This window comes from Homo sapiens, chromosome 2 (assembly GCF_000001405.40).
Source record: "Homo sapiens chromosome 2, GRCh38.p14 Primary Assembly".
In the NCBI taxonomy this organism is placed as follows: Eukaryota; Metazoa; Chordata; class Mammalia; order Primates; family Hominidae; genus Homo; species Homo sapiens.
In genome coordinates this window covers 134169330-134195322 of record NC_000002.12, presented here as the reverse complement: position 1 = coordinate 134195322, position 25993 = coordinate 134169330, and the positions used below count along the sequence as shown (strand labels likewise).

At 43.7% G+C, this 25993-nt stretch overlaps 1 protein-coding gene across 17 annotated transcripts in view, besides 1 other annotated feature; it reads right to left on the bottom strand.

Moving 5' to 3' along the window:
- MGAT5 (alpha-1,6-mannosylglycoprotein 6-beta-N-acetylglucosaminyltransferase) overlaps positions 1-25993 on the bottom strand; it is a 334687-nt gene that overhangs the window by 259299 nt on the left and 49395 nt on the right. For 3 of the 17 annotated variants that reach the window (XM_047444395.1, XM_047444401.1, XM_047444399.1), the window contains exon 2: positions 5075-5216. The exons of 7 other annotated variants lie outside the window; for them this stretch is intronic. The gene's annotated coding sequence lies outside the window, so the exon portion shown is untranslated. Of the gene's footprint in view, positions 1-5074; positions 5217-11086; positions 11174-17786 lie in introns of those variants that run through there. 7 more of the 17 variants (XM_047444402.1, XM_047444404.1, XM_017004148.2 and 4 more) reach the window with 4 other exon arrangements.
- Positions 11856-12025: an enhancer, noted in NCBI's record as "experimental_52692 CRE fragment used in MPRA reporter constructs". NCBI's record gives its function as "activates a minimal promoter by MPRAs in K562 erythroleukemia cells, with activity observed for the non-introgressed 2:134940954 variant allele {active_cell/tissue: K562}" and the evidence as "EXISTENCE:reporter gene assay evidence [ECO:0000049][PMID:34662402]".

Sequence of the window (25993 nt, the reverse complement as noted above, 5' to 3'; positions counted from 1 at the left end):
GAATCTTTTTTCTGAGTTAAAAATGTAAAGGAGTATTAAATTTGTTTATGACTAATAAGGTTTGAAGTCTAACACAGTACCTGCTAATTCAGATTCAAGTCACCCTCTTAGGTGGGTGAGAAATGAGCCATTGGTTTAGGAACCTGAAGGAATCCAAACTGTTCACAGGAATATTCCAAATGGTGTTTCAGTCCTGGAGGTTAACAACCTCCACTATGCATTATATGGATGCCGACTGTGTTCTGGGGGATATTTGAGATCAGAGGCCATAAAAATAAAATAGGTATGTGACTTTCACAGCCAGTCACAAATAAAATGCTGCTGGACCTTTTAAGTCTGAACAATCCACTCAGACTACAGAGAAAAGACTAGATATTAGTAAAAGAGCACCCAACTTCAACTGCATTATCAGCTTCCAGAAGTGAGGTTCTTACAGCAACATGAACCACCTGAACCACAAAATACCAAATATCAAGAAGGGGCGCAAATGCTCATGGAAGATATTCCACCAGGGCCTTGAACAGTACATGAAGTGAGGGCAGATTTGGAGAACACTCCTGTCTCTCCAAAGTCCTGGTGAAGGGGGCATTATTTCACAATCTGGTTCAATGACAGAAGCAAGACAGTACTCTCTATATCTACCTTGAAGTATCTAGACCTCCCGGGGGAGGGAGAGAATGCACGCTAGCAGGACCAAAACTCAAGGACTCTAAACACCCCCTATCATCTGTTTCCTAGAGTGTGAGCAAAAGATTAGATTGATTCGAACACTTATTATTACTGAAAAGCACACAGACGTATCTCATCTTCAAGATACTGACTAATAAGTAGACTTAGAGGTAATATTCCACCCTCCGCCCCCTTGTAACTGTCCAAGGTTGTAGTAAGAATAAAGGATCAAGAATACATGTGGAAAACTGTAACAGCAGTAGTATTAAAGCCACAAGGACCATTTTTTCTGCCCCCACCCCCACAAACTAATATATAAGCATCCTGCACCACCTAATGCAGAAGTTGAAGTGTATTTTAAAGCCATCATTGCAGATAGCTCCGAGAAGAAATTTACTCTGTGCCCCCAAGTTGGCACAACATAGTTATTTAGGGATACAGATTTATAACAATACTAGCAATAAAACTAATTCAATTCATTCACAGGAAATTATTCCAGAAAGTCACCTCTTTCTCCTTCCTAAAATAGAAAGATGGAGAGAAAAAGAAACAAATGCAAATTGCCACTGGCAGAGTTTTGTATTGAAAGTGCATGGAATGATTCAAGAGCAATTCAAGGTTTTCGGCAAATGCCTGTTCATTAACCCAGTAGGAGGTGCAATACCATCTGGCACCAGTGTCCAGCGGAAGATATATCGCTCAGGGTCAATTCTGAGCAGCAGGCAAGTTTATTTTTACTCATTCTAAGATTTTATGCACAAAAGTACAAGGACATAAATGTCTTGAGTTAGGCGTGCCAGGAAGATTTAACAGGCCTGGAAAATGGGATCCAAAAATGGGATCTAGCAGAAGCCAACTTTCATCGCGATTGATTAAAACACTCTCCCAGCAAACCCCACAGGGCCTGGGCTAGAAACTTGTCAAAACACACACACACACACACACACACACACACACACACACACACACACACACACAAAGATTTGGGGTATGTAAGAGAGGGGAGATTGCCCTGTTTCCTCTGATGTCAAAAAACTCAGAGGGGCTCACTCACATTCAGGTTGGGACTCCCAAGAGGGCTAGGAAGGAGGGCTTAGGGGGCATGTCCACCACCGCCTGGGCACAAGGGCAGCTGCTGTGTGAAGAGCCAGCTAGCCACTGGGTGGTGGGGACCCCTATAAACAGGCCCATTTTGCCAGGTTCTCCCCCTGGGGATCGTTCTCTTTTAACCTCATGTAACAGCTGGATGTGGTACATGTCTATAATCCCAGATATTCAGGAGGCTGAAGTGGGAGGACTGCTTGAGTCCAAGAGTTTAAGATGAGCCCATGCAACACAGGGAGACCCCATCTCTACAAAATAAAGTAGCTAGGCATGTTGGCATGTCCCTGTAGTCCCAGCTGCTTGGGAGGCTGAGGTAGGAGAATTGCTTGAATCTGGGAATTCAAGGCTGCAGTGAGTCATGACTGCATCACTGTACTCTAGCCTGGGTAACATAGCGAGACCTTGTCTCAAAAAAAAAAAAAAATAAAAAATAAAAATAAAAATAAAGTAACCTCACAGAGCCAATCAAAATATCACTTTTCCAAGTGAAATTACTGTTTTTTTCTAATAGACCAAAATACTTGCTCAATCACAAAAAATTTATTAAATACTGGAAAACCACAAAGAAAAATTTTTTTAAACATCATTCATCATTCCACTCCCTACAGATGGTAAAATTTTAGTATGTTCCATATATATTCCCATATATGGTATATCATCCATACACATATATCACAAAAATACACTTATATTTATGCTTGCTTTCTTACAGCCTTTTATATCACAACAGATTTTAAACATTTTCCCATGATAAATATTTTACCACAATTTAAAAGCTAAGTAGTAATTGCATGTTTTACTTAAATAATCCCACAGTACTAGGCATTTAATTTGTTCAATTTTTCTATTTAAAAAAGTAATAAAAATAAAAATAAAAAAATAAAAAAATTTTAAAAAGTAATGCAATAGTCTTTCACTCCTACATTTGTATATCATACCTCTGTATATTTCCTTAGAGCAAAGGAATTATCTGATACAATAATACGAGGATTTTTAGGCTTGTGTAGCAGTGATATCCCATGTTTCTTTCAGTAAAATTGTACTGATTTACATCCCCAAAACTAGCAAGATATAGCTAGCAAGATATAAGGATGCCTACATACCTGTTTCATTCCAATTTGTGCTGCTATGACAGAATACCTGAGACAAGTAAAGAACAGAGATTTATTTCTTGCAGGTCTGGAGGCTGCGAAAGCCCAAGTTCAAGGGGCCTGCATTTGAGGGCATTCTTGCCAAGTCACTCCACGATGCAAGAGCACACTCATGGGAGGAGGAAGAGAAAAGGAGGAGGAAGAGAAAAGAAGGGAGCCAAACCCACCCTTTCATCAGGAACCCGCTCGCGCAAGCAGAAGAAAAAAGGCGTGAACCCACCTTTTCATCAGGAACCCACTAGCGCGAGGAGGGCGCGAACCCACCCTTCCATCAGGAACCCGCTCGCGCGAGGAGCGCGCAAACCCACCCTTCCATCAGGAACCCGCTCGCGCCAGGAGGAAGAGGAAGGCGCGAACCCACCCTTCAATCAGGAACCCGCTCACGCGAGGAGGAGGGCGCGAACCCACCCTACCATCAGGAACCCGCTGGCGCGAGCAGGAGGAGAAGGAGGGCACGAATCCACCCTTCCATCAGGAAGCCGCTGGCGTGAGCAGGAGAAAGAGGGCGTGAACTCACCCACCCATCAGGAAGCCGCTGGCGCGAGCAGGAGGAGGAGGGCGCGAATCCACCCACCCATCAGGAACCCGCTCGCGCGAGGAGGAGGAGGGCACGAAACCACCCTACCATCAGGAACCTGCTAGCGCAAGGAGGAGGAGGAGGAGGAGGGCGCGAACCCACCCTCCCATCAGGAACCCGCTCACGCCAGGAGAAAGAGGAGGAGGAGGAGGGCGAGAACCCACCCTCCCATCAGGAACCCGCTCGCGCGAGAAGGAAGAGGGTGCGAACCCACCCTCCCATGAGAAACCCACTTGCGCCAGAAGGAGGAGGGCGCGAACCCACCCTCCTATCAGGAACCCGCTCCCGCAAGGAGGAGGAGGAGGAGGAGGCGAAAGACGGCGCGAACCCACCCTTCCATCTGGAACCTGCTGGTGGGGGGGGTAGGGGGAGGGGGCGAACCCACCCTTTCATCAGGAACGCGCTCCCGCGATAACCCACGCGCTCCCGCGATAACCTCATTCATCTATTCAGGAGGGTTGAGTCTGCATGACTTAATCACCTCTTAAAGTTCTCACCTGTAAACAGTATTGCACTGGGATGTTTCCAACACATGAACTTTGGAGGACACATTCAAACCATGACAATACCCCATGCTCTCAAAGTTTGTCGTGTACGTTTTATTGTCACTTTAAAACAGCACATGCCAATTAGGTACGACCAACTATTACTAATAAAAATCACAATCACAACAGGTACTGGGTGCGTACTATGTGCCAGGCACATAATACAGAAAAAGAACAGACGGTGCCAGGGACTGGCGGGGAGGGACACAGTTTCGGCTTGGGAACATGAAACGTTCCAAAGCAGGGGGATGGGCTGAGCCCAGGAATTGGAGACCAGCCTGGGCAACTTGGCAAGATTCTGTCTCTAAAAAAATTTTTTTAAATAGCTGACTGGGTGCACTGGCTCACACTTGTAATCCCAGCACTCTGGGAGGCCGAGACGGGCAGATCACTTGAGCACAGGAGCTCAAGACCAGCCTGGGCAACATGGCAAAACCCCATCTCTATTAAAAAAAATACATAAATTAGCCAGCCATGGTGGCATGCACCTGTAGTCCTAGCTACTCGGGAGGCTGACGTGGGAGTATCACCTGAGCCTGGGGAGGTTGAGGCTGCAGTGTTCCATGGATCATGCCACGGCACTCCAGCCTGGGCAAAGAGAGACTGTCTGAAAAAAACAAAAACAAAGGAGAGGAGATTTGAAAACAAAGGGCCTCCTTTGAGCTTTGTAACTAGTTAGGGTGCTCCAGCCACTTGGGCTCCAATCAAATCCTCATCAAGTCCTTTGGAGTAATGCTAGTCTACACAATTTTTGTTGTTGTGGGGTTGGGTGGTGGGGAAGGGAGCTGGGACTACAAACTCTTCAGATAAAATGAAAATACTCCCGGGAACATTCAATCTTTAATTGCAGGGACAAACATGTACTGTGAAATTCATGAAAGTGAGAAGTCTGCAGTAGCAAGAGAAAAACAGCAAATCAAAGAAATGAACTACAGAAACCACACTTGCTACAAAAATCAAACATGGGAAAATCAGGTGACTGTTCACTAATAACTGAGATAGCAGGGAAGACCACAAAAAAATCTTACCACAAGCCTGCCCATCACCAGATTGCAAGTCTTCAGTGGCCAAGAACTTCAGATGCATAAAGCAGAAAGACAGCCTGCCCATCCACAAGCCAGCACCCCATGTCCATCCAAAGTTGGGGTGCATTTATTCAGAAGGGCATATCTGAAAGCCAGAAAGATACCTTATAACCAGCAACTCAGTGGATTCCCAAAGAATGTCACAGAAAAGTTTTAAAACCACATTCTCCAAAGACTCAAATTCAGAAAAGCAGTATTTGTGGTATATTTAGTAAAAGGTCACCATAAAATTCCAGAAGACAACTTAATTGCCATGAGACTAAATAAAGTTATTCTAAAGAAAAGGAAAAGAGGCCAGGCACAGTGTCTCATGCTTGTAATCCCAGCACTTTGGGAGGCCGAGGTGGGTGGATCAGGAGGTCAGGAGATGGAGACCATCCTGGCCAACATGGTGAAAACCTGTTTCTAGTAAAAATATAAAAATTAGCTGGGCATGCTGGCAGGCACCTGTAGTCCCAGCTGCTCGGGAGGCTGAGGCAGGAGAATCGCTTGAACCCAGGAGGCAGAGGTTGCAGTGAGCCAAGATCACGCCATTGCACTTCAGCCTGGCAACAGAGCGAGACTCTGTCTTAAAAAAAAAAAAAAAAAACAAAAAAAAACTAGAGCCATGAGGTTAGTCATATGTTATTGCATAACCAGAAACCCAACCTGACATTGGATTAGAGCAGCAGCACCAACATGAGAAAAGAGCTGGGCCCACTTCTCCCAAGAAGCCCTTCCCAGGCCACCATCTTATATTTTGCTATCTCACATATAATTTCCCTATTGTACAGTAAAGAATCTGACTGGCCTTTGCCCCTGGTTGGGAAGAGGGATGGTTCAAAATCCTTGGACTACCTGCTGTAGTAGGAGTGTATTTATTTTTGATAAACCCCTTGGATCACACCTGAGTTTACACTAAGATGAGATGACTCAGGCTGGAGTCTGGTCACCAGAAAAACCAACCATGCAATTAGAGGATCAGGGCTCTAAGCCAGCCCAATCCAGAGAGGGGAAAGGAGGGGACTGGAAATTGAATCATTGGCCATGTGGTTGTACTCAATCAATCCTGCCTATGTAACGAAACCCCAATAGAAACTGGACACCAGGCTCACTGGAGCTTTTTGGTTGGTAAACACATCAACGTGCCAGGCAGGTGACACACCCTAGTTCCAAGGGACAAGACACAGGAGCTCTGCATTCGCGACCCTCCCAGACATCAGCCCATGTGTCTCTTCATTTGACTGACCTTCACTTAGACCCTTTATAATAAAACCATAGTTGAAAATATAGTGCTTTCCTGAGTTCTGAGATTCATTCTAGTAAATTATCAAACCTAAGAAGGCCATGGGAACCCCTTGGATTGTAACCAGTCAGTCAAAAGGGTGAATGGCCTGGAAGTCCCACTTACAGTGGGCATCTGAAGTGGGAACAGCCTTTTGGGAACCATACCCTTTAACTGATGGGGTCTGCACTAACTCTGGGTGGTTACAATAGAATTATATTGTAGTATACTAGGAGGTGTCAGAACACACCCCCACCACCTCCTTTTTCCAGTTAATTCAAGTGCTACACACCAGTTCAACACTCAGGTCCAAATAACACAACTTTTACCTGCCAATATTTATGCCAACTGTTAATGACCAACAATCTTCTTCCTTTTAGTAACAGCTAAAATGTTTTAAGTACTTACTACCCCAGACATGGTTCTAAGACCTTCCACATGTATTAACTCAATCATCACAGCAACCTCATAGGATAGGTACTGTATCATTCCCACTTTGCAGATGAGAGCACTGAGGCATAAAGTGGTTAAGGGACTTGTGCAAGGCCACATGGCAGAGGGGCCAGGATTCAAAGAAAAAGCTCCTCCATCCCTAGAGGCTGTCCCTTAGCCACAAGTCTACAGGAAAAGCTGTGCCTTATGGCTGCCTACCCTTGAGGGCCCTTGGACAGCCACTACTCTCTATCCTCACTTGCTCCCATTCTCCAACCTCAGAATGGCCTCATGCCGATTTCCTTAGGGAAGAATGTGTGCTTTTTGATGGCAAAATTATCCAGCTTTGACTGCAGCTCAGGAGAACTAATTTTGAGAACACAGCACTGAGGGAGGTTAACTATTTCCCTGAAAGTCTTTTCCAACAAAAACACAAATTAGCAGCTAGATGGTACTGGATGTGAATAAAAGTGACAAATTTCACTGCAATAAATGAAGAGGTTCAAAGTTTTTCCTTTTCAGCACCGTCTCTTTCACCACAGGCGGAATCTCTCCACGGCTGACACAAACCTCCTCTCCCTTATTTTTCCCTATTACTTAAAGTGTTCAATACTTCTTCATTTTTATTAAATTGATAATACAGTTTGAAGTTTTCAGTGTGTTTAGTGTAGCAATTAAAACCTCAGGCAGTCACGGTGGAAATTTTTCAAATAAAAATTATATAATGAGATCAGTGGGTGGCCTTTCAATTTCATTCACTTATCCGATCAATATTTTGAACATTTGCTGCCTGCAGCAACATTCTAGACACTCGGGACATAGCAACAAAGTTGACAAAGTCCCTGCCTGCCCTCATGACACTTACATGCCAGAAGGAGAGACAAAGAAGGAATGGGCAAACATACATGTGTGTGCATGTACATGCACATGTGTGTATAACTTCAAGAAATGGTAAGAGTTCAAAGAAACAGAGCAAGTAAAGATCTGGGGGAAGTAAAAGACAACGTGTGTGGCTGGAGTGAAATAAATCATAGGGAAGGTAGCAGGAGATAAAGTCAGAGAGGGGCCAATTCATTCTCAACGGATACATCCAACCCCTTATCATTACCTCCCTCCCCTCACCTGAGTCCATGTCACTATCACTTCCACTGGAAGATTGTCATACCTTCCTAGCTGATATCTGCTTCTATTCTTGCCCCTTACAGACAATTCTCCATGCAAGCGGAATGATCCTTGTAAAAACAAATCCAATCAACTCAGGACCTCCTCCTGCTCAAAATTCTTCACACACGTCCATCATAATCATGATGGAACCCAAATTCTGAGCCCTGCCCAGCAAGGCTTTCCATATACGGGCACTACTTGCCCTCCACACTCGGCCCCTGGCTCCCTTTACTCCACCCACACGGCCCTCAAGCTAGGTCAAGTTTGTTCCTGCCTCAAGGCCCCTGCAGGTACCCTCTCTTCCTCACGGAACTTTCTTCACCTTGGATACTGCCTTGGCACTCTGCTCAAACATCACTCCTTCAAGCAGCCTCCTGGACCACCCAACCTAGAATAGCTCCCCACGCGGCACTATCTCCTGCCCTACTTGGTTTTTCTTCACAGCCTGAATCTCCACCTGACATCAGATTTACCTGTTTCTTCCTCTGCCTTTATTCATCACTGTACCTCCAGTGGCTACAACAATTCTGAGTGCAGAGTAGGACCTCAATCAATGCATGTCAAATGAAGGAATGAATGACTTTGATGATGCCATCACTGACTCGGTTATACAGAGTAAAGTCACGATCCACAATCCTGGGCATCCATGCTATCCACACCAGCTGGCAGGGACAAGGCACACCTGGTTCACATCCTGTCACCTGCTAAGCCCAGAAGGCAACATCATCCATCAGACTCAGCCAACTGCTCCAATTAACGTGCTCCGATTCTGACCCTAGGAAGACATGGACTCCCTACAAAATCATTTGACAACCCAACATGTATGCAAAAAGGCCAACAAGTGCTCCTTAATTGATGAATTTCTCTAAATCTGAGGTAAGTGGCACTGACATCTCAAATCCTCTTTGCCAGTAAATGGGTGGGCAGAAATTCCAAGTAAAAAAAAAAAAAGAAACGACTCCAGGGCTCCTTTTTCCTTGACTATCCCCTCTGGCTGCTCAGTCTTTATACACCTCCTCTCTGCCCGTTAGATTGGGCAAAATCTCCCCCATCACTAGGACAGCACAGTGTGTTCCATCCAGAGTAACTCTCACTACACAAAAGGCTGACACATTCTAGGCTAAAATCATAACTGGGCTTTAACTGGACCCTTCCACATTGAACTGCTCTTTCCCATTTGGGGAGACAGGCAGGATTGAGGAATCTGTCTTCTGACAATTTGGGATCAGTCTTCTCTCTTGCTTTCTTTCCCTCAAGTTGCAAACAGTAAGTCATGCTATGTGAGCCCCGAGCCCCAAGCCCCACACAGGTGCCTCTATTCATAATCTACGGTTCCTCATCCTCATGAGGACAGCAGAACCCAAATATCACAGGCTCTCAGCAGAACACCAGGCGATCCTGCAACATGGATTCTCTTCTTCTGAACCAGGAGCAATTGGACTCGGGGAAACAGAACCATGCTGTGGACAGCAGCCTCTGCATCTCCAAAGAATGCAGAAAACATTCCATCTCTCCTCTTCCCTACAAGGTCTGGATTTTTCCTTGGTTATTCATTTTGCCACTCGTTGGTACTCACTGGCAGATAAGCAATTGCCCAAAAATTGAGCAGGTTAGGGAAAGATGGTCTTAAAATTGGGAAAGCTCTATTCTGTTGTTTAATTTCTTTTTCTGGGAACTGAAAAAAATATCACTGATATGAATCTAGGGGCCCAGTACCTGAATCAGTTAAGCACTTATATCAAAATTACTGCAGAAATGAAACAAGATATGCAACATACAGGGCCCTTGTTGGCTGCACAGTAATCACGTAAAAATGGCAATTAGCTCCTTTAAAGGATGATAATTAACACTGCCTTTACATAACCCACTTTTAAGTTTCTTTTTTACTGATGTTTTCCTGCATCAGCAATCAGCAAAGTAATCAGCTCAACGTCAAGCATTTTCTCTGAGACACGAACACTTTCATCAGCACCTTCATATATACAAAGCCATTCCCATTTGGAAAACAAGAGGGGTAAAGATAGGGGATTGAAAGGCATAGTTCTTATCCTTCAGCATTCTGGAATTCCCTCGATGACCACAGGGCTGCAGGATGAGGCTCTGCTCTTAAGGACTCAAGACTTAATATAAATGACTACAGAGTACACTGTATCCAATATGCAGTCTTCTGTCCCTCACCCACTCCCACCCTTCCCCCAGAGTCCCCAAAGTCCATCATATCATTCTTATGCCTTTGCATCCTCACAGCTTAGTTCCCACTTATAAGTGAGAACGTATAATATGTGGTTTTCCATCCCTGAGTTACTTCACTTGGCATATACTGCTCAAGGGACAGGTGCACCAAGATCTCAGAAGTCACCACTAAAAAATTTATTCATGTAGCCAAAAACCACCTGTTCCCCCAAACTATTGAAATAAAATAAATGACTGCAGAGCAAAGAAAAGTCTCCCTTGCCTCTGAAATGTCCCCGCTCTGGCCAGCCTTGCATGGAGATGCAGACATTTCTGAGCACCTTTGTCAGGCACTGAATATGTGAACAGTCATGCTCTCTGCTCTCTGCTCAGTCATGTTCTCTGCTCTCAAAATGTAGTAGGGTACAGACACATCAGTAATTATATTTTATAATTATCTACTGATGTGTCTGTACCCTACTACAACAAGTATCTGTTGAGGCTCTACTACGTGCCAAGCACCATTGTGGATCCTGGGTTCACAGCAGTGTGCAAATGCGGCAGTGCATGATATGCACACAGTATCGCAAGAACACAGAAGAAACATCTCCCATATGATCCAAGAGGATGAAGGAAGACTTCTCTAAAAAGGAATCAGTTCTAGCTTCTGGAAGGAGCCTTGAAGGACAAAGAGAAGATGGTGGGGAAGGCATCCCCAGCAGAGAGAAGAGCACATGCCCAGAGCAGAACTAGCACCAGTCACACTCAAGGGTACCCTTCCCTGCAGGCTGGAATGTAAAGACAGGCAGGGAGAGGCCAAGGAAAGTCTAGAGAGGCCAAAGTGGGCAGGGGCCTGAAATGCCAAGTAGGACTCAGGACTCTCCTGTCCTCAAAGGCTGACTTTGAAGAGCCCTGAAACTCACAAGCAACATGATCCATTTCCCGTCTCAGATACAGTTTCCTCCTGAACTGGTTTTTATTTGCAACCATTATTTCTCCATCATCAGAGGCTGGAAAATGCAAAAAATAAAGGCAGATTTAGAAAGTGGGTACAAATAAGTTTCAAAAAATAAAGCTAAGATTCTTTATTTTAATTAGAGACGATGGCTAGAAACCACTGAAGGGGAGAATTAAAAAAGAGAAAGGCTTTCACAGACAAAAAAAATTAAGTGAGCTAAAAAAGCAACTTTACAGAGACAAACATCCCTGACTTAGCAATTTTGCTAGAACTGTTCATTTTCGTCTCGGCTGGGACCAACAGAAACTGCATGGCAAACGTTTTTCATGTCCCGCATGGCCTGCTGCCCACGTAACACCTCAATGGAAGCCACATCAAGCTCCAAACTTGGCCGCCTTGCTCAACATGAGCGAGCCAGCCCGTGACAGATCCAAGAAGGAGAATACAAATCCTCACCATGGATGATGGCTGCAGACAGCCTATTTTTTAAAAATAATAGTTTAAAGTGAATTTAACAGTTCCACATTACAAAGGGCCTTCAAACTGAGTGCTCCATTTCCCCATGGCATGAAGGGCAATTTCAGCTCCTCCTGGCCCAAACTTCAACTATTAAACAGGCTATCCATTCAGTTTCTATAGACAAGACTACTACTACTCAGAAAATGGTATTCAGAATATAATATACTGATGTAGTAAGATTGCACTGCAATGCTATTGTTTCCAACTCAAATCCAATGATAAGTTTCTATACAGTGTACCCAGCTCACTGGTCACATCTTAAGCTTGTAAGTTACTCTAGCTTCAAATGAACTTGATTGCGTCAATCCATACATGAACACAAATCTAATTTCTATATTATCTTCCTTCCAAATAAAGTTCTAAAGCCCAACGAGTGACGTAATTATGTTGTTTTCTTCATTATGAAAGCAACCGTATTAATTTTACTACCTTGAAGAACAATATTATGATTAGTGAACCCATGCATGGAACAAGGAATTTTTGTGACTCTACCACTGAAAATTGCCCAGTTTGTTTAATTGCCACATTTGGGAATATTTCAAATATCAACAGTTAGAATCAAAACCAAGAAATTGGTTAAAAATTAATCTTATGGCCAGGTGCGGTGGCTCACGCCTGTAATCCCAGCACTTTGGGAGGCCGAGGCGGGTGGATCACGAGGTCAGGAGATCGAGACCATCCTGGCTAACACGGTGAAACCCTGTCTCTACTAAAAATACAAAAACAAAATTAGCCAGGTGTGATGGTGGGCGCCTGTAGTCACAGCTACTCGGGAGGCTGAGGCAAGAGAATGGCGTGAACCCTGGAGGCGGAGCTTGCAGTGAGCTGAGATCAGGCCACTGCACTCTAGCCTGGGCGACAAAGGGAGACTCTGTCTCAAAAAAAAAAAAAAAAAAAAAAAACTAATCTTCTAACATGCACTATATAATTCCATTTATGTAACAAAGAAAAACAGGTGAAACTGACCTGTGCTGTTAGAAGTCAATGCAGTGATTAAGTACGCTTGTGATGGGGTGGCGGTGACAGTGACCGGAAACGGGAACACGAGGAGCTTCCAGGGCTGTGCATGTTTTGTTTCTCCACCTAGGTACTCCTAACACAGGTGTGTTTGGTTGTAAATCATGCTGCATACCAATGATGTGTGCACTGTTCTTTGTGTAAATGTATCAATCAACACAAAGTCTTAAAATACTGAGGATGAAGGGTAGAGTTTGGTCTACTCTCACAAAGACCATCATGGGTCAGAATTTCAATTCTATGTAGCATTTAAAAGAGCACCAGTTTCCTGCGGACAGATGCCACAGATCAACAGAAATAACATATTGTTTTATTGGGCCTGCTTTCATTCTCTCACTCATTTCTCTTAAAGATCTCAACCATCCTATGTATGGCATATAGCTATCATAGATGACAACAGGTCAGATCACTAATTGAAATTCCCTCCTCCATACAAAATTATTTCTAATAATCATGTAATGATCAATAATCATAACATCCTTTTGAATCATTCTTTAGTTTTGAAAACAACTATTTAGAAAGAGTGTCAATTTTAAAGTTATTTCTGAGCCTCAATATTATATTTCTTCTATGAACTACCAAAGCATACCATATGCACTTAACCAGATGTTATACTCACAGTTCACTTCTTCACCGTTTTACATTTTAATCACACATAAAATCTCCTAGTGATCACACACAATGAGGGAAGTGAAGAAACTCAAGTTCTGTTTCTTCACCTTAAATTGTGCTATCATTTTTTATTACAAATCTCTAAACACAAGAGCATATTGTACCATAAGGGTTAGAGATGTGAACTGCACCTAGAGGAAGCTCCAACAATTCTAAACAGGAATTTACTCAAGGCGAAGTGTGGAGCTGAGTCCATGTGCATTGGGACCAACTGTGTAATAGGGAGTTCTCCAAATTAGCTTTCATGTGGCATGCAATAATTAAGGTGTAAGAAGTGTACTAATCTGAGGTGTATATATAAATATATATGTGTTTATCTATACATATGTAATTAGTGACAGTAGCAATTATTTAGAATTTAGACAAACCAAAGATTTTTCAGGAAGTATTTTATCACCAGCTTAGAACTGCACATGCATTGTAATAAAAAAAAAGAAAAGAAAAAAACAGACTGGCTGAGGTCAGATTGTTTTCAGTCTCTACAGACAATGTGTCCCCTCACAACAGCTGCACCTGGGGAGGACCTTTTCCGTTGCCCCACCCTCAGGAGACAAAAGGAACCACACCAACAAAAACCTCCCAACCACACAAGAAAAACAAGTTTAGGCACAAAAGCTCTTGTGGACACACGTAAGCCCTTCCGGTTTACATGAGTGTAGAGCAGGGTTTCTCAACCTCAACACTACTATTTACGCTGGATAATTCCTGGCTGTGGGGACCGTCCTGTGCATTGTAGGATGTTTAGCAGCATCCCTGGACTCTACCTACTGGAAGCTGCCAGTAACACTCTCCCAACCTCCACCAAGATGTAAAAATGACCATGGAGAACAAAATTGTCCCTGGTTGAGAGTCACTGTTAGAACATCTTTGGAAGAGTACACAAGAAATCAGGTACATTGCTTACTTCTGGGGTGGAAGGCTTCAAAGTACCTTTTGAATTCTTAACATGTATATCTATTATTCAAATAAATACACTTAAACACACAAAGGAAACTAGAGAAGAAATGAGAACAAATGTTTAGGCGAGACAGGGTATCGCTGAGAAAGTATCTGCAGCTCTTTCAAATTATCTTCCCTTTGTTTTCTTTCAAAAATGTGCCCCTTGAAAAGAAAAACAAATTAACATCTTTCCAAGGTTATTCCACCCTATAAAAGATTTTCTGTAAACATGGAAATGGGCATTTTACAGAAAAAACTCCTGGCCCCTAAAGAAAACATTCCTGGTCTCCTTCTTGGAATCTCTTATTTTACACACAGTTCTAACATTATGTGCTTTCTCCAGGTCAGGTCAAAGTAGAACAGAAGCGGCAGATGAGAACCGTGGTGAGGGCAGGAGTGCGGTCCTCACAGAGCCTAGTCCTGAGCCAGCCTTGGTATGGTAACAAGAGTGAGGCATTTGGAGGCACATTCTGCCGCTTTCTAATCATGGAACCCTAAGCAAATCACAGCCTTCCAAGACCTCAGTTTTTATTTCTGAAATGAAAGGTAACACATGCTTCATAGCGTTGCTGTGTGAACTGATCCTATGAAATACATGGTTTTACACCAGGATTACAAACATCCTGGTAAACCAGTGGTACCTGTTGACTTTACCAAGAGGAATTTGAGTATTAAAAATAGCCCTAGAGTTGGTTCCAGCAGCATCCGCAGCAGATTTGTTACTGGAAAGAGGTCCCAATACAGACCCCAAGAGAGGGTTCTTGGATTTCCCACAAGAAGGAATTCAGAGTGAGTCCATAAAGTGAAAACAAGTTCATTAGAGAAGAAACAAAAGAATGGCTACTCCACAGGCAGAGCGGCAGCATGGGCTGCTGGACTGAGTATACTTACAGTTATTTCTTGATTATATACTAAACAAGTAGTGAAATATTTTCTGGGAAAGGGGTGGGGAGCTCCTGGAACTGAAGGTTCCTCTCCCTTTTAGACCATATAGGATAACTTCTGGGCATTGCCATGGCATTTGTAAATTGTCACGGTGCTGCTGGGAGTCTTTTAGCATGCAATGCATTATTATTCGCCTGTAGTGAGCAGTGAGGATGACCAGAGGTCCCTTTCATCACCATCTTGGTTTTGGTGGGATTTGGCCAGCTTCTTTATTGCATCCTGCTTTACCAGCAAGGTCTTTGTGACCTGTATCTTGTGCCAACCTCCTACCTCATCCTGTGAACTAAGAATGCCCTGCCTCCTGGAAATGCAGCCCGGCAGGTCTCACTCTCATATTTAGCCCCTATTTAAGATGGAGTTACTCTCGTTCAAATGCCTCTGACAGATTCAGAAGTGTAAAAGAGCATGAAGCAGATATGAAGGGCAAGAAAGCAGAACAGGGAAGAATAAAGGGTTGGGGACCAGACTGCCTGGGTTCCGATCCTACGGGTGACCCTGGACAACTTCTAGACTTCTACTTGCCTCAGTCTCTATAAGCTGATAATAGGACAGCCAACTTGCAGTGCCCAGAATGGTCTTGTTCTATAAAGTCTCTGCAAACACTGAATTAGTGAATCCTGAAACATTGCTCCTAGAGAAGATACAGGGTTGGGTACCCGCGAGCCCCTGGTCACAACATTTTCACCAACTGATCAATGCATAGTTGATGTGTGTGTTTGACGACACCTTATGTTACTGATTCTTTAACACTGAAATCACAGCCAACACTACTACAACTTACGCCTGCATGAAGCTTATCTAGCAAACGTATTTTCTCCCTAAGATACATCGCAGCCTTCTCCAGCCTTCTTGTGCTTAATAACACTAGACAACCCCTCAGCACTATGCTTGGGGGCCATTTTAAGCAGTAAAATCACTTTTTTAAAAAAAGGCACAAAAAAAGGATAAACACGGTACTAACCAGGTAGAAGAAGAACACTTATTTGCAATATAAGAGCTGAAGCAAGAAGGCCTTGTTCATCCGCAGCTGGGAACATGGACACCAGGCAACTCAAATCTTCTACTCTGTATGTCCATGAATGACCAGGAAAGTGCAGAGTATTGATTTCAGGGTTACAAATAAGTATTAATGAGGACACAAATTCACAAATACAGAAATCTGAGAATAATGAAGATGGACTATACCTGCCTTCACAGATGGCTTTGATGAGTCAATGAATTAATGCAGATAAAGCACACAGGAAACATTCAGTAAATGTTAGTTATTAACAGGGAGTCAAATATGTAAATATCATGCAGTGTAAAGAGCATGACAGAAACATGAAGAGAGGACACAGGTGTTAACAAAGCCACAAAGGAATGTGGCACGGGGGAAGGGAATCAAGAATTCAAGTTCTTTCCCTAGAGCAATCTCTTACTCCTCGACTTATCTTCCTTTGCACCAACGTTATAATCCTTGTGCCACAGCCATCTGCCTTTTTGCTCTCAAATCCATTCTCTGCATACTTTGTCCTTTTACAAATATCACAGGAAACTACATTTCCCAAGCTCCCTTGCCACCTGGTTTCTAGTAGTGCTGGCCTGTGGGAGGTACCATCAGAAGCTGGGAGGGGAAGGTGCCTGGGTCTCTCTCCCAACTCCATTTGCTGGGTGGGATAACCTTCTCTAGGGAGACAGCTCTCTCCAAAGGACCCAATGCCCTTTCCATCAGCTGCCACCCCCACCACCCTGCCTCCACAGTCCTGGGGGTGGACATCTTCCTGAGGTTACAAATCTCTAGGTTGCTGTAACAGTCTGGTAACTCTCCTCTTTCATCACCTAAATATGCAATTATCTGTATTAGAATCTGTTAGAAATGCCTAGTCTAGTTTTCCTGATTCATGCCCTATGAAACACTGGCTCTAGAAGCAATTTTTAGAAGTTTTAGTTTTAGATGTTTTTACAGCCTAAAAGTTTCCTGCCTAGAATCTCTCCCAAACTCACTCCCAAAATCTCACCTCTTTTTTTTTTGAGAGAAAAAAACAAAACAAAACAAAACTGGTTTTGTCTTTAATTCACCACTGCACGAAGAAAAAAAGCACACTTATGCAAATATTACAGCTATTTAAGTTTTTTAAATCACATTACATTACCTCTGCCACATTTCATCATGGGCTACCAATTGGCCTCACACCGATACACCTATGCAGTTTCCCTCTGCTTAAGTGCTGTGTACTTTTTGAGAACCGAGCACTACTCTCAACTCATAAATACCTTGACTTTTTAAACAAAATCCAAATGCAGCCTATGGCACATCGCCAATTCACTCTCATTGTCAGCATCGGCCATTCCGTGCTGCTGACTGCGAGCCTGCATGAGCACTGGCCATTAATTCTGAGGCAACTTCCATTCTCTGCTTTCCATTGTTTCTTACTCCAGTGCATAAAAATTTCATGCCTGACCATCATCATGCCCAGGCGTAATAGATTAATAAATCAGTTCATTTGGACAGAAGAATGCAATAGTGAGTAAGATTCTGATCAGTGAATCAGAAGAACGGGAAAGGGCAGGCGAGAGGAATGCCAGCTACTCACTGAAATCCGCACTCTTGTCATCTTCCTGGGCACACAGCTGGACCTCGCTTCCCTGCCAGGGGTGACCAGGTGACTGTGTTCTTGGCAATGGAATGCGAGTAGAAAGTGACGCTAACCACAGCCAGACCCGGCCCTAAAAACCTCCATGCTGGCTCCTCCATCAGATCCCCCCAGGCCTGTGGGCTGGAATGACAGTTACAGCAGGATGACCTAGAGAACCTGTTTTCAAAAAGTCAAGGCCTAAAGCCTGGGTTGCTACAGAAGTTCTTTAAAGAGGTCATTCCCTCCCATCCCATAGAACTGTTTATCAACCTAAAACTATGAACAAGAAAAAACTTACACTAGATGCAAGATTACTATAAATAGAGATACATACACACACACACACACACGGGTTCATTTGTTACAGGAGGTCCCTATCACAGGACACGTGCCTTTCAAATGAGTGGGTCAGATATCTGGTCATGGTGGCTGAGGGGGTATATGAGATAACTGCAGCATGTCCCTTCCAGAAGGAGCCCTAAGGGGAACCCACTTGGGCAAAGGCTCAGAAACAAGCACCTGTTCCTGGTCCCACATGTCCTGTCGGGAGACCAGTGACCTGTTAAACCACCACTTTCATCCTATAGCCTAAAAACCAAGACCCTTGGAGGTCAAGGTGGGCCTCCAGGCATCCAAAGGCAGAAAAGAGCTGAGACCCACCTCTCAAAGGTCAGTGCCACTCCAAGGGGAGCCTGCAGCACACTGCCAGTCCACCAAGTATTTGTTTCTGCTCTATGATCAATACTGAAATTGAGTGTAAGTGTTCTAGAAACTTTTATAGCAATTTGCTAAGGTAATATTATGTCTTTGAATCTAATAAAATTAGGGGCTTGTATTATAGACTTTTTAAATGTCATTTTTCTAGTCGTTTATTCTTATCAGTTCTTGATGGTTTAGAATTTTTTTTTTTTTTTTTTTTTTTAAGACAGAGTCTCCCTCTGTCACCCAGGCTGGAGTGCAGTGGTGTGATCTCGGCTCACTGCAACCTCCGTTTCCTGGGTTCAAGCGATTCTCCTGCCTCAGCCTCCCTGAGTAGCTAGAATTACAGGCATATGCCAGCACACCCAGGTAATTTTTGTATTTTTAACAGAGAAGGGGTTTCACCACGTTGGCCAGGCTGTTCTCGAACTCCTGACCTCGCAATCCACCCCACCCCGGCCTCCCAAAGTGCTGGGATTACAGGCGTGAACCACTGTGTCCAGCCTAGAATTTTTAAGAACTATTTTTCCTCCTTCCCAGAGTCCCAAAACTCTTCAGCCAATTCCCAAGGCCTCCACACCCCCTTCCCAATCCTTCCTGCTTTACTCTCAGGAGGCTCTCCTCCATGTTCTGGCCCAGCAACCCCCTTCAGCCTTCCTCTCAAGGTGGTACCTCTCTCTGTAAACAGTAGTCTTAACCTTCCCCAGCCCCTCCAACGTGCTAGCCATGGGCACCAATTCCTATAAGCCATCCTGAGGATCTGGCCAAAACAAACAGTTAAATGGATGACTAGTCATAAAACAACATGATTGTAAGCTATCATAAAATAATCCAGGACCCTGCTCCCAGAAAATAGCCAGTTAAAAGAAAGAAGGAGAAACCTGTCTGTGGGTCCTACCCACATTAATTAACCTGAGGAAGCACCTCCACCTGCCTGACAGATGCCATCTATCCATCACTCTCAACCCCAAAGACAAAGTAAAGCGGCCTCCACCCCTTTCTTCCAGGGAGGTGGACACACATGGAGAAATCCCAAACCTGGCTTGGAGAGAAAAGAGAAATTATTCACAAAGTGGCATCAACTATGATGAAGTATTATGGGAAGGGAACAGGATGTGGAGACAGCATCAGCTCCGCCAAGTGGGACCCACTGAATTACCCCATCACAGGGGAGTCCTGAACTAGCCGGAAGAGGAGGGAGGAAAGAGGAAGGGGATTCTCTCTCACACACTCATGGCTCCTTGAAACTGAATTAAGAGGGGAAATAGATGGCAGTGACCTAACAACAAAGGAACCCGTAGCTAAGGGTGGATCCAGGTAGTGCCAACCTTCCTCAGACAGGAGGTACACTAGAGTTCCTGATGGGTCTGAGTCCCAGGCCAACCACACATTTCAGAACTTCCAGGGACAAAATAACAGTAATTTTAACACAAGCCAAAGCAAATATCTTCCAAAGTTAATAAGACATATTAGCAGCAAGATCAGAAAGGCAGGGAATATGGAGGGGTAGGTACATAAGAGCCTGCCCTATTCACTCTCTGTACTTGTGTGGATATTTGAAATATTTAAAATATTTAGACATTTTCTAGGGAAAGACAAAGAAACATGAAAATCTCTTGCCATGAACCAGAATCCTGATTAGATGCAGCAGAACTGGACACTGCAGGTGAAGGAACACTGCTCTGCTGCTCCACACACCCGGACACATACTCCCTGGTAGGGAGATATGGGCTGGCCCACAGCCCCACCCTGCCCATGGGCCAGGAGGAAAGCAAGGTTTCACCCACCTCGCCACTCTGTCAATGGGCAGTGGTATCTAGAGTGCAACCGTGGGGATTCTGAGCCACTTCCCAGGCTCTGAGAATGAGGACTGAGATGAGATACTGACATGCATCACAGGCAAAGCACCCAGAAGAGGTGACAACATTCCTCAGCTAACAATCTTGCCAAAGCCCATGGTCACCATCAAGCGGCTCAAGAGGCCTATTTCTGCCCAACGCTAGGCAAGCTATGCACCCCAGCCAAGATCAGGCATTGGCCTTTTATAAGATATGACTGACCAACATCCTGGGAAGCACAGGAAGAAATCTGAGCAGAGACAATGAAGGTGCTTTATTTTATCATGTTTAAGACTTGCCATCTAGTTCCCATGACTTGTCTCAAATTATTCGTCTTTGATGCCAACAGGAAAATGTCATTAGTTTTTAATCTCATACTCTGCATTTGTTGATTAACACATTTCAATGTCTGTGCTACCCAGGTAAAAATAAAATGAAACAAAACTTTTACTGCCTAAAAATTAGACTGCTTTATACTCATTCAGCTCATATGCTGCTATGTGCCAGCCACTGGCACTAGCCACGCATGGCATAGAGGTGAGTGAAGCCAGCGCTAGCCCTCAAATAATGTCTAGACAGACCCACAGTAACTAAATCCATTCCAATTCTGCCCTTTCTCTACTTTCTTTGGCAGTATGTGTTTCTCAGATCCACTGAGGTGGCTTTCATTTTTACTTGTACCAGGAACATGGCATCTTTCTCTTCCAGTTATGTCTTAAGAAATGAGATGTAAAAACAGGCTGTCTTAGAAACTAGGACATAAATGACCAGACACAAGATCCACTGGCCATGTGAGAAACGTTTCCTGACATCCAATTCCCAGGGACACCCTCTTATCACAGGCTCTGTGGCTGCTAGAGGTAAAGGCTCATTTGGGCTTAGAAGCTAATGCTCTTCCCCAGTCTAAACTGACTTCGTATGATCTCACATAAATCTAAGCATAAAGCCAGGACAACTTCTTCCTACCTAAGTCAGAAGAGAGATGATGATTTATAACCTGGGTGGGGGAGAACAGTGAGCCACTTCACCACCTTCAGGATGATCCAACTATTTCCTCACTCTCTAAGGTGGAGAAAGCGTGTAGAGGCCACGTGCTTTATACGCTGAAGGCTATTTAAAGGATTACAAAGAATGTAAAGTCATCTGTGATATGGCTTTCGAGTTATAAATGTCAATGGCAGTTAAGTCTGCTGCTCTGGGAACTCCTCCAACAACAGGTTGACAACAGCCCAAGCCGACGGCTCTGGAGGAGGCTGACAGACAGCTGCTCTTTCGGTAGTTATTCCTGAGAGCGCCAAGAGGCCTCTCCAAAGGCAGCTAGGTATATGACATGCTGGAGGGGGAAAGCGACAACATATTTAGTGGCAGAAAGACACAGCCGAGGAGTCCCACATGACGCCAACACGTCTGCCTGCCTCATGAAGGCTGTCAAACCCACATGGTGCAGAGCTGAGAACAAGGGGGTGCAGATACTGGCGTGAGAATCGCAGCACAGTACATGCAGGAAGATGACCATCTTTCCCAGAGCATAAACCACAGCAATGGGTGGCAGGGCTGACAGACCCAGCTCCACCCTCCCCAGTGCCAGCCTACTATCCCCAGCTGCCCCACCTGGCAACCCTTGAAGAGCAGACTTCCCTACCTGGCAGCACTAAACCAGTTTCAGGGGAAACAGACCCTGGAAGACAGATTGTTCAGTTGTCCAGTCCCTAAAATGAAGTCACATTCCTATTAAGCAGGGTGTGGGATGTATATATGGGGGACATGAAAGGATGGATTAAATATGCTTGTATTTGAGACAAAAATCTCATGTTTTTAGAGATTAAAAATCCCTTTGAGTTTCCAAAGGACATATTTTCTGTTTCTCCGGTTTCTCCCAGTGGGACAAACTCTCAAGGTGACAGCTAGAGAGAAGCCTTAGATAGAAATCATGTGGTCACACGATTTCCTAGCTCTAACGTTAATGCTTTTATTCACGTCAAGACATTCATCTAGTTGTGGGATGCTGGGGTGTTTTTCCTCCTGTGATGTTGTCAGAGACAAAGTGTGTTCAAAGACCCACATACATAAAAGAAACAAGAATTAGGAATGTTTAATGTTTCATTCTGTTGACCCCATAACCTTGACACCCAATTCCTATCAGCCTGTGAAATATAAATGTTCTGCTCCAAGGTGAACATCTGATTTACCAAGCTAACTTCTCAAGGGTCTGCCCCTTAGGCAGTGGGTTTAAGTGCTACAAACAATTCAGATGGGTAAAATAAGAAGTACTGGCTGGGCATGGTGGCTCACACCTGTAATCCCAGCACTTTGGGAGGTCGAGGCGGGAGAATCACGAGGTCAGGAGATCGAGACCATCCTGGCTAACACGGTGAAAACCCGTCTCTACTAAAAATACAAAAAATTAGCTGGGCGTGGTGGTGGGCACCTGCAGTCCCAGCTACTTGGGAGGCTGATGCAGGAGAATGGCATGAACCAAGGAGGCGGAGCTTGCAGTGAGCTGAGATCGTGCCACTGCACTCCAGCCTGGGAGACAGAGCAAGACTCCATCTGAAAAATAATTAATTAAAAAAAAAAAAGGGAGTACTTAGGAAATTCCTTCCTCCATAAAATATGCTCAGAATTGAGGACTTAAGAAAATACACATCTTGGAGCAATGGTTCCTCAATACAGACACAGTTCAGAGACTATACTGTCCTTAGGAGTCACACGCTCCAGTTCAGTGGGCTTCCTTCCACTGACACCATGATGATGTGTGTGCTGGGCCCAGGTTGGGCTGCTCTAAAGGGCCAGCCTTTCTACATAAGAATTAAGTGGCCATGGTCAAGCTCAATAAATTTGTACTGATAATGATTGAATGAAGTAAAAAATAGCCTTCTGCTCCAGTCACTTCACTAATTCTATACACATAAAATAATCTTGTCCAATTACTCTGAAAAAATTCTACCAGGCCTTCACCAGATAGCCAGAGATGTCCCCTCAGGATTATGGGTGGTACCAAGAGAGCCACCCCCTTGCTCTTTGGGACCAGAGTGCCAAAGTGTATTTTGATGGCCCCAAAGCATAACATGGGACTACTCTACATAACTTGGCCCTCTCCCCGACAAGAGCAAATACCCCAGCTCTCTGCTTAGCCCAGGTGAGTATCTGCTTACTATAGTACTTACATGGCTTAACAGAGCCTCCTCCAATGTCCACTTTAGAATAGGAATCACTTCTGAAATCACAAGGACAAGGACGGTTTTAAGTTCCTCCTCTTAAAGGACTTGATCCATTGCAAACAGGCTGACAAAGAGATTGTATGAACTTTGGTTCTCCGTTTTTTTGGAGCCCAACTGCCTTTAAGATCGTCTCCCAAAAAAAGATACTTAAAAATAGCTAGGTGGGCGGCCCTATCACTTCGACACCCAGAGGCATTTGTCTAAAAATTATTATCTCACTTGTTAGGATCCAAATCCATCCATTATTAGTTCAGCGGGAGTAAGGTGACACTTGGCAAAGACAGAGCCTCTGCACAAAACTGCTTCTTGTCCCAGGTCTCAGGAGGCATTAAACCAAAGCTCTTACCAATCCTAATGCTTTCCGGACTAGCCTACATTAATATATACACACAGTCCCAAATATATATGCACAATTTTAAAAATAGCACCATTACAAAAAAAACTCAGGAGTTTATAGTATGAAATAAACCCAATTCAATTACAAGCCTGTTTTTTCAAATAGATTCCTTGTAGCTGTTTCTCCCTGAAGAATAAAACCAAAAGAAGCAATAAAAAGCCATTTTGGAAATATATCTCGGCCGGACACAGTGGCTCATGCATGGAATCCCAGCACTTTGGGAGGCTAAGGCAGGCAGATCACCTGAGGTCAGGAGTTTAAAACCAGCCTGGCCAACATGGCAAAACCCTATCTCTACTAAAAATACAAAAATTAGCTTGGTGTGATGGTACGTGCCTGTAATCCCAGTTACTCAGGGAGGCTGAGGCATGAGAAATCACTTGGACCCAGGAGGCAGAGGTTACAGTGAGCCGAAATTGCACCATTGCACTCCAGCCTGGGTGACAGAGCAATATTCCGTCTCAAAAAAAAGAAAAAAAAAAAAGAGTAGAGATCTATATCTACTATGTGCTTCTGATTGGCTATTTTCCCTCTACAAAACTCCTTTATAAAAAAGAAACCAGGGAAAAATATGTCCATTAAAAGACATGTATAGTATGTTTCTGATGTTCATGGACTGTATGAGCAGAAAATTGTAAAACTGAGAAAGACCTCAGTAAGGGAGGGAGGGACAGATCCACCTTCAAGCTGACTGTTGTCTTAATACTAACTTATTCTTAAGGACTTCATGGAAGAGCATACTGTATAATCATCTGAAAAGTTTCTGGAAGAGTTTCATTATTTTTAATCCAAACGAAGCCAATTCCTGCAAACCGCATAAAGTATTAGCATTTTTGTCTGTGTCAACAAGCCCTGAGCAGTAACAGAGGTTTGTACACTTGGGCAACTTAGGAGAACAGGCTCAACCCACAGTCATTACAAATCCACCATCTCTATGAAACAGTCTGGGCTCAATAAATGTTTACTAAAGGATGGACAGTTGGAAAGAATTGATTCCACGCCAGTGACCCCTTTTAAACTAGCATGTGTCTGAGACAGCCTTGAGGTGAAGGAATGGGTTTTGAAAATGGATTATCGTGATACGGAAAAAGCTGTAACTCTAGTAAGTGCAGTCAAGATTTGTTTCTAGAAAACAATCCTCAGCATCTTGGTCAGATCAAGAGCACTTCATTCATGAGTAGTGGTGTAGGCTAATGGAATATATACCCACATGCCTCGGGCCTAAATGATACCAACTTAGTTTCAGTGCTTTTAATCTTTTATGTTTTCATAAACACCTAGTTGGTGCATCATATGGCAATTTTCCTTATGAGTACTGTCCATGGGTGGCAGGTGACTTATGAATCATACCAGTAATGAAACTGTAAGATTCAAAAAAAAGTTCATGATATAAAGAAGTAGTTTATTATCCTTTACTTCACCAATGCTTTCAAATCTCGATTTTACCTTAAGAATCAGACAAGCTACCTCCTGAGTCACCTGAAAACTACTGCGCCACCCTTGGCTCTCTGTTCATTTGCAAAACACCTGGTCACCAAGAAACCAAAAGGCCCTTAAATTCTACCATCAGCAAAACCTTTTTTTCAACTAATCTTAAATATCATTTCCTGCAGAGCCAAGTACATAACATTAATAGAAATTTATAGACATTTCAAGCTGTGTCTATAGATAAAGAAAATATTGAAGAAGTCCTTTCTCCTTCCTGATTTTCACATCAGGTGCTGTATACCACCACAGCATTCATCAAGATTTCACCCAAAGTAATTTTTGGAGATTAATTGGCTCCCTCAATTTCTTCTTGGGATTATGCTGTAATTTTCTTCCCTTTCTTAATTATAACTCAGCTGTGAAAGCATTTGTAGATGGATATCATGGAAGTACAATTCAATCTTTTATATATGTGTGTGTGTGTGTGTGTGTGTGTGTCTGTGTGTGTGTGTGTGTGTGTGTGTATTTTTAAATTATGGAGATGAGGTTTCACTATATTGCCCAGGCTGGTCTCAAACCCCT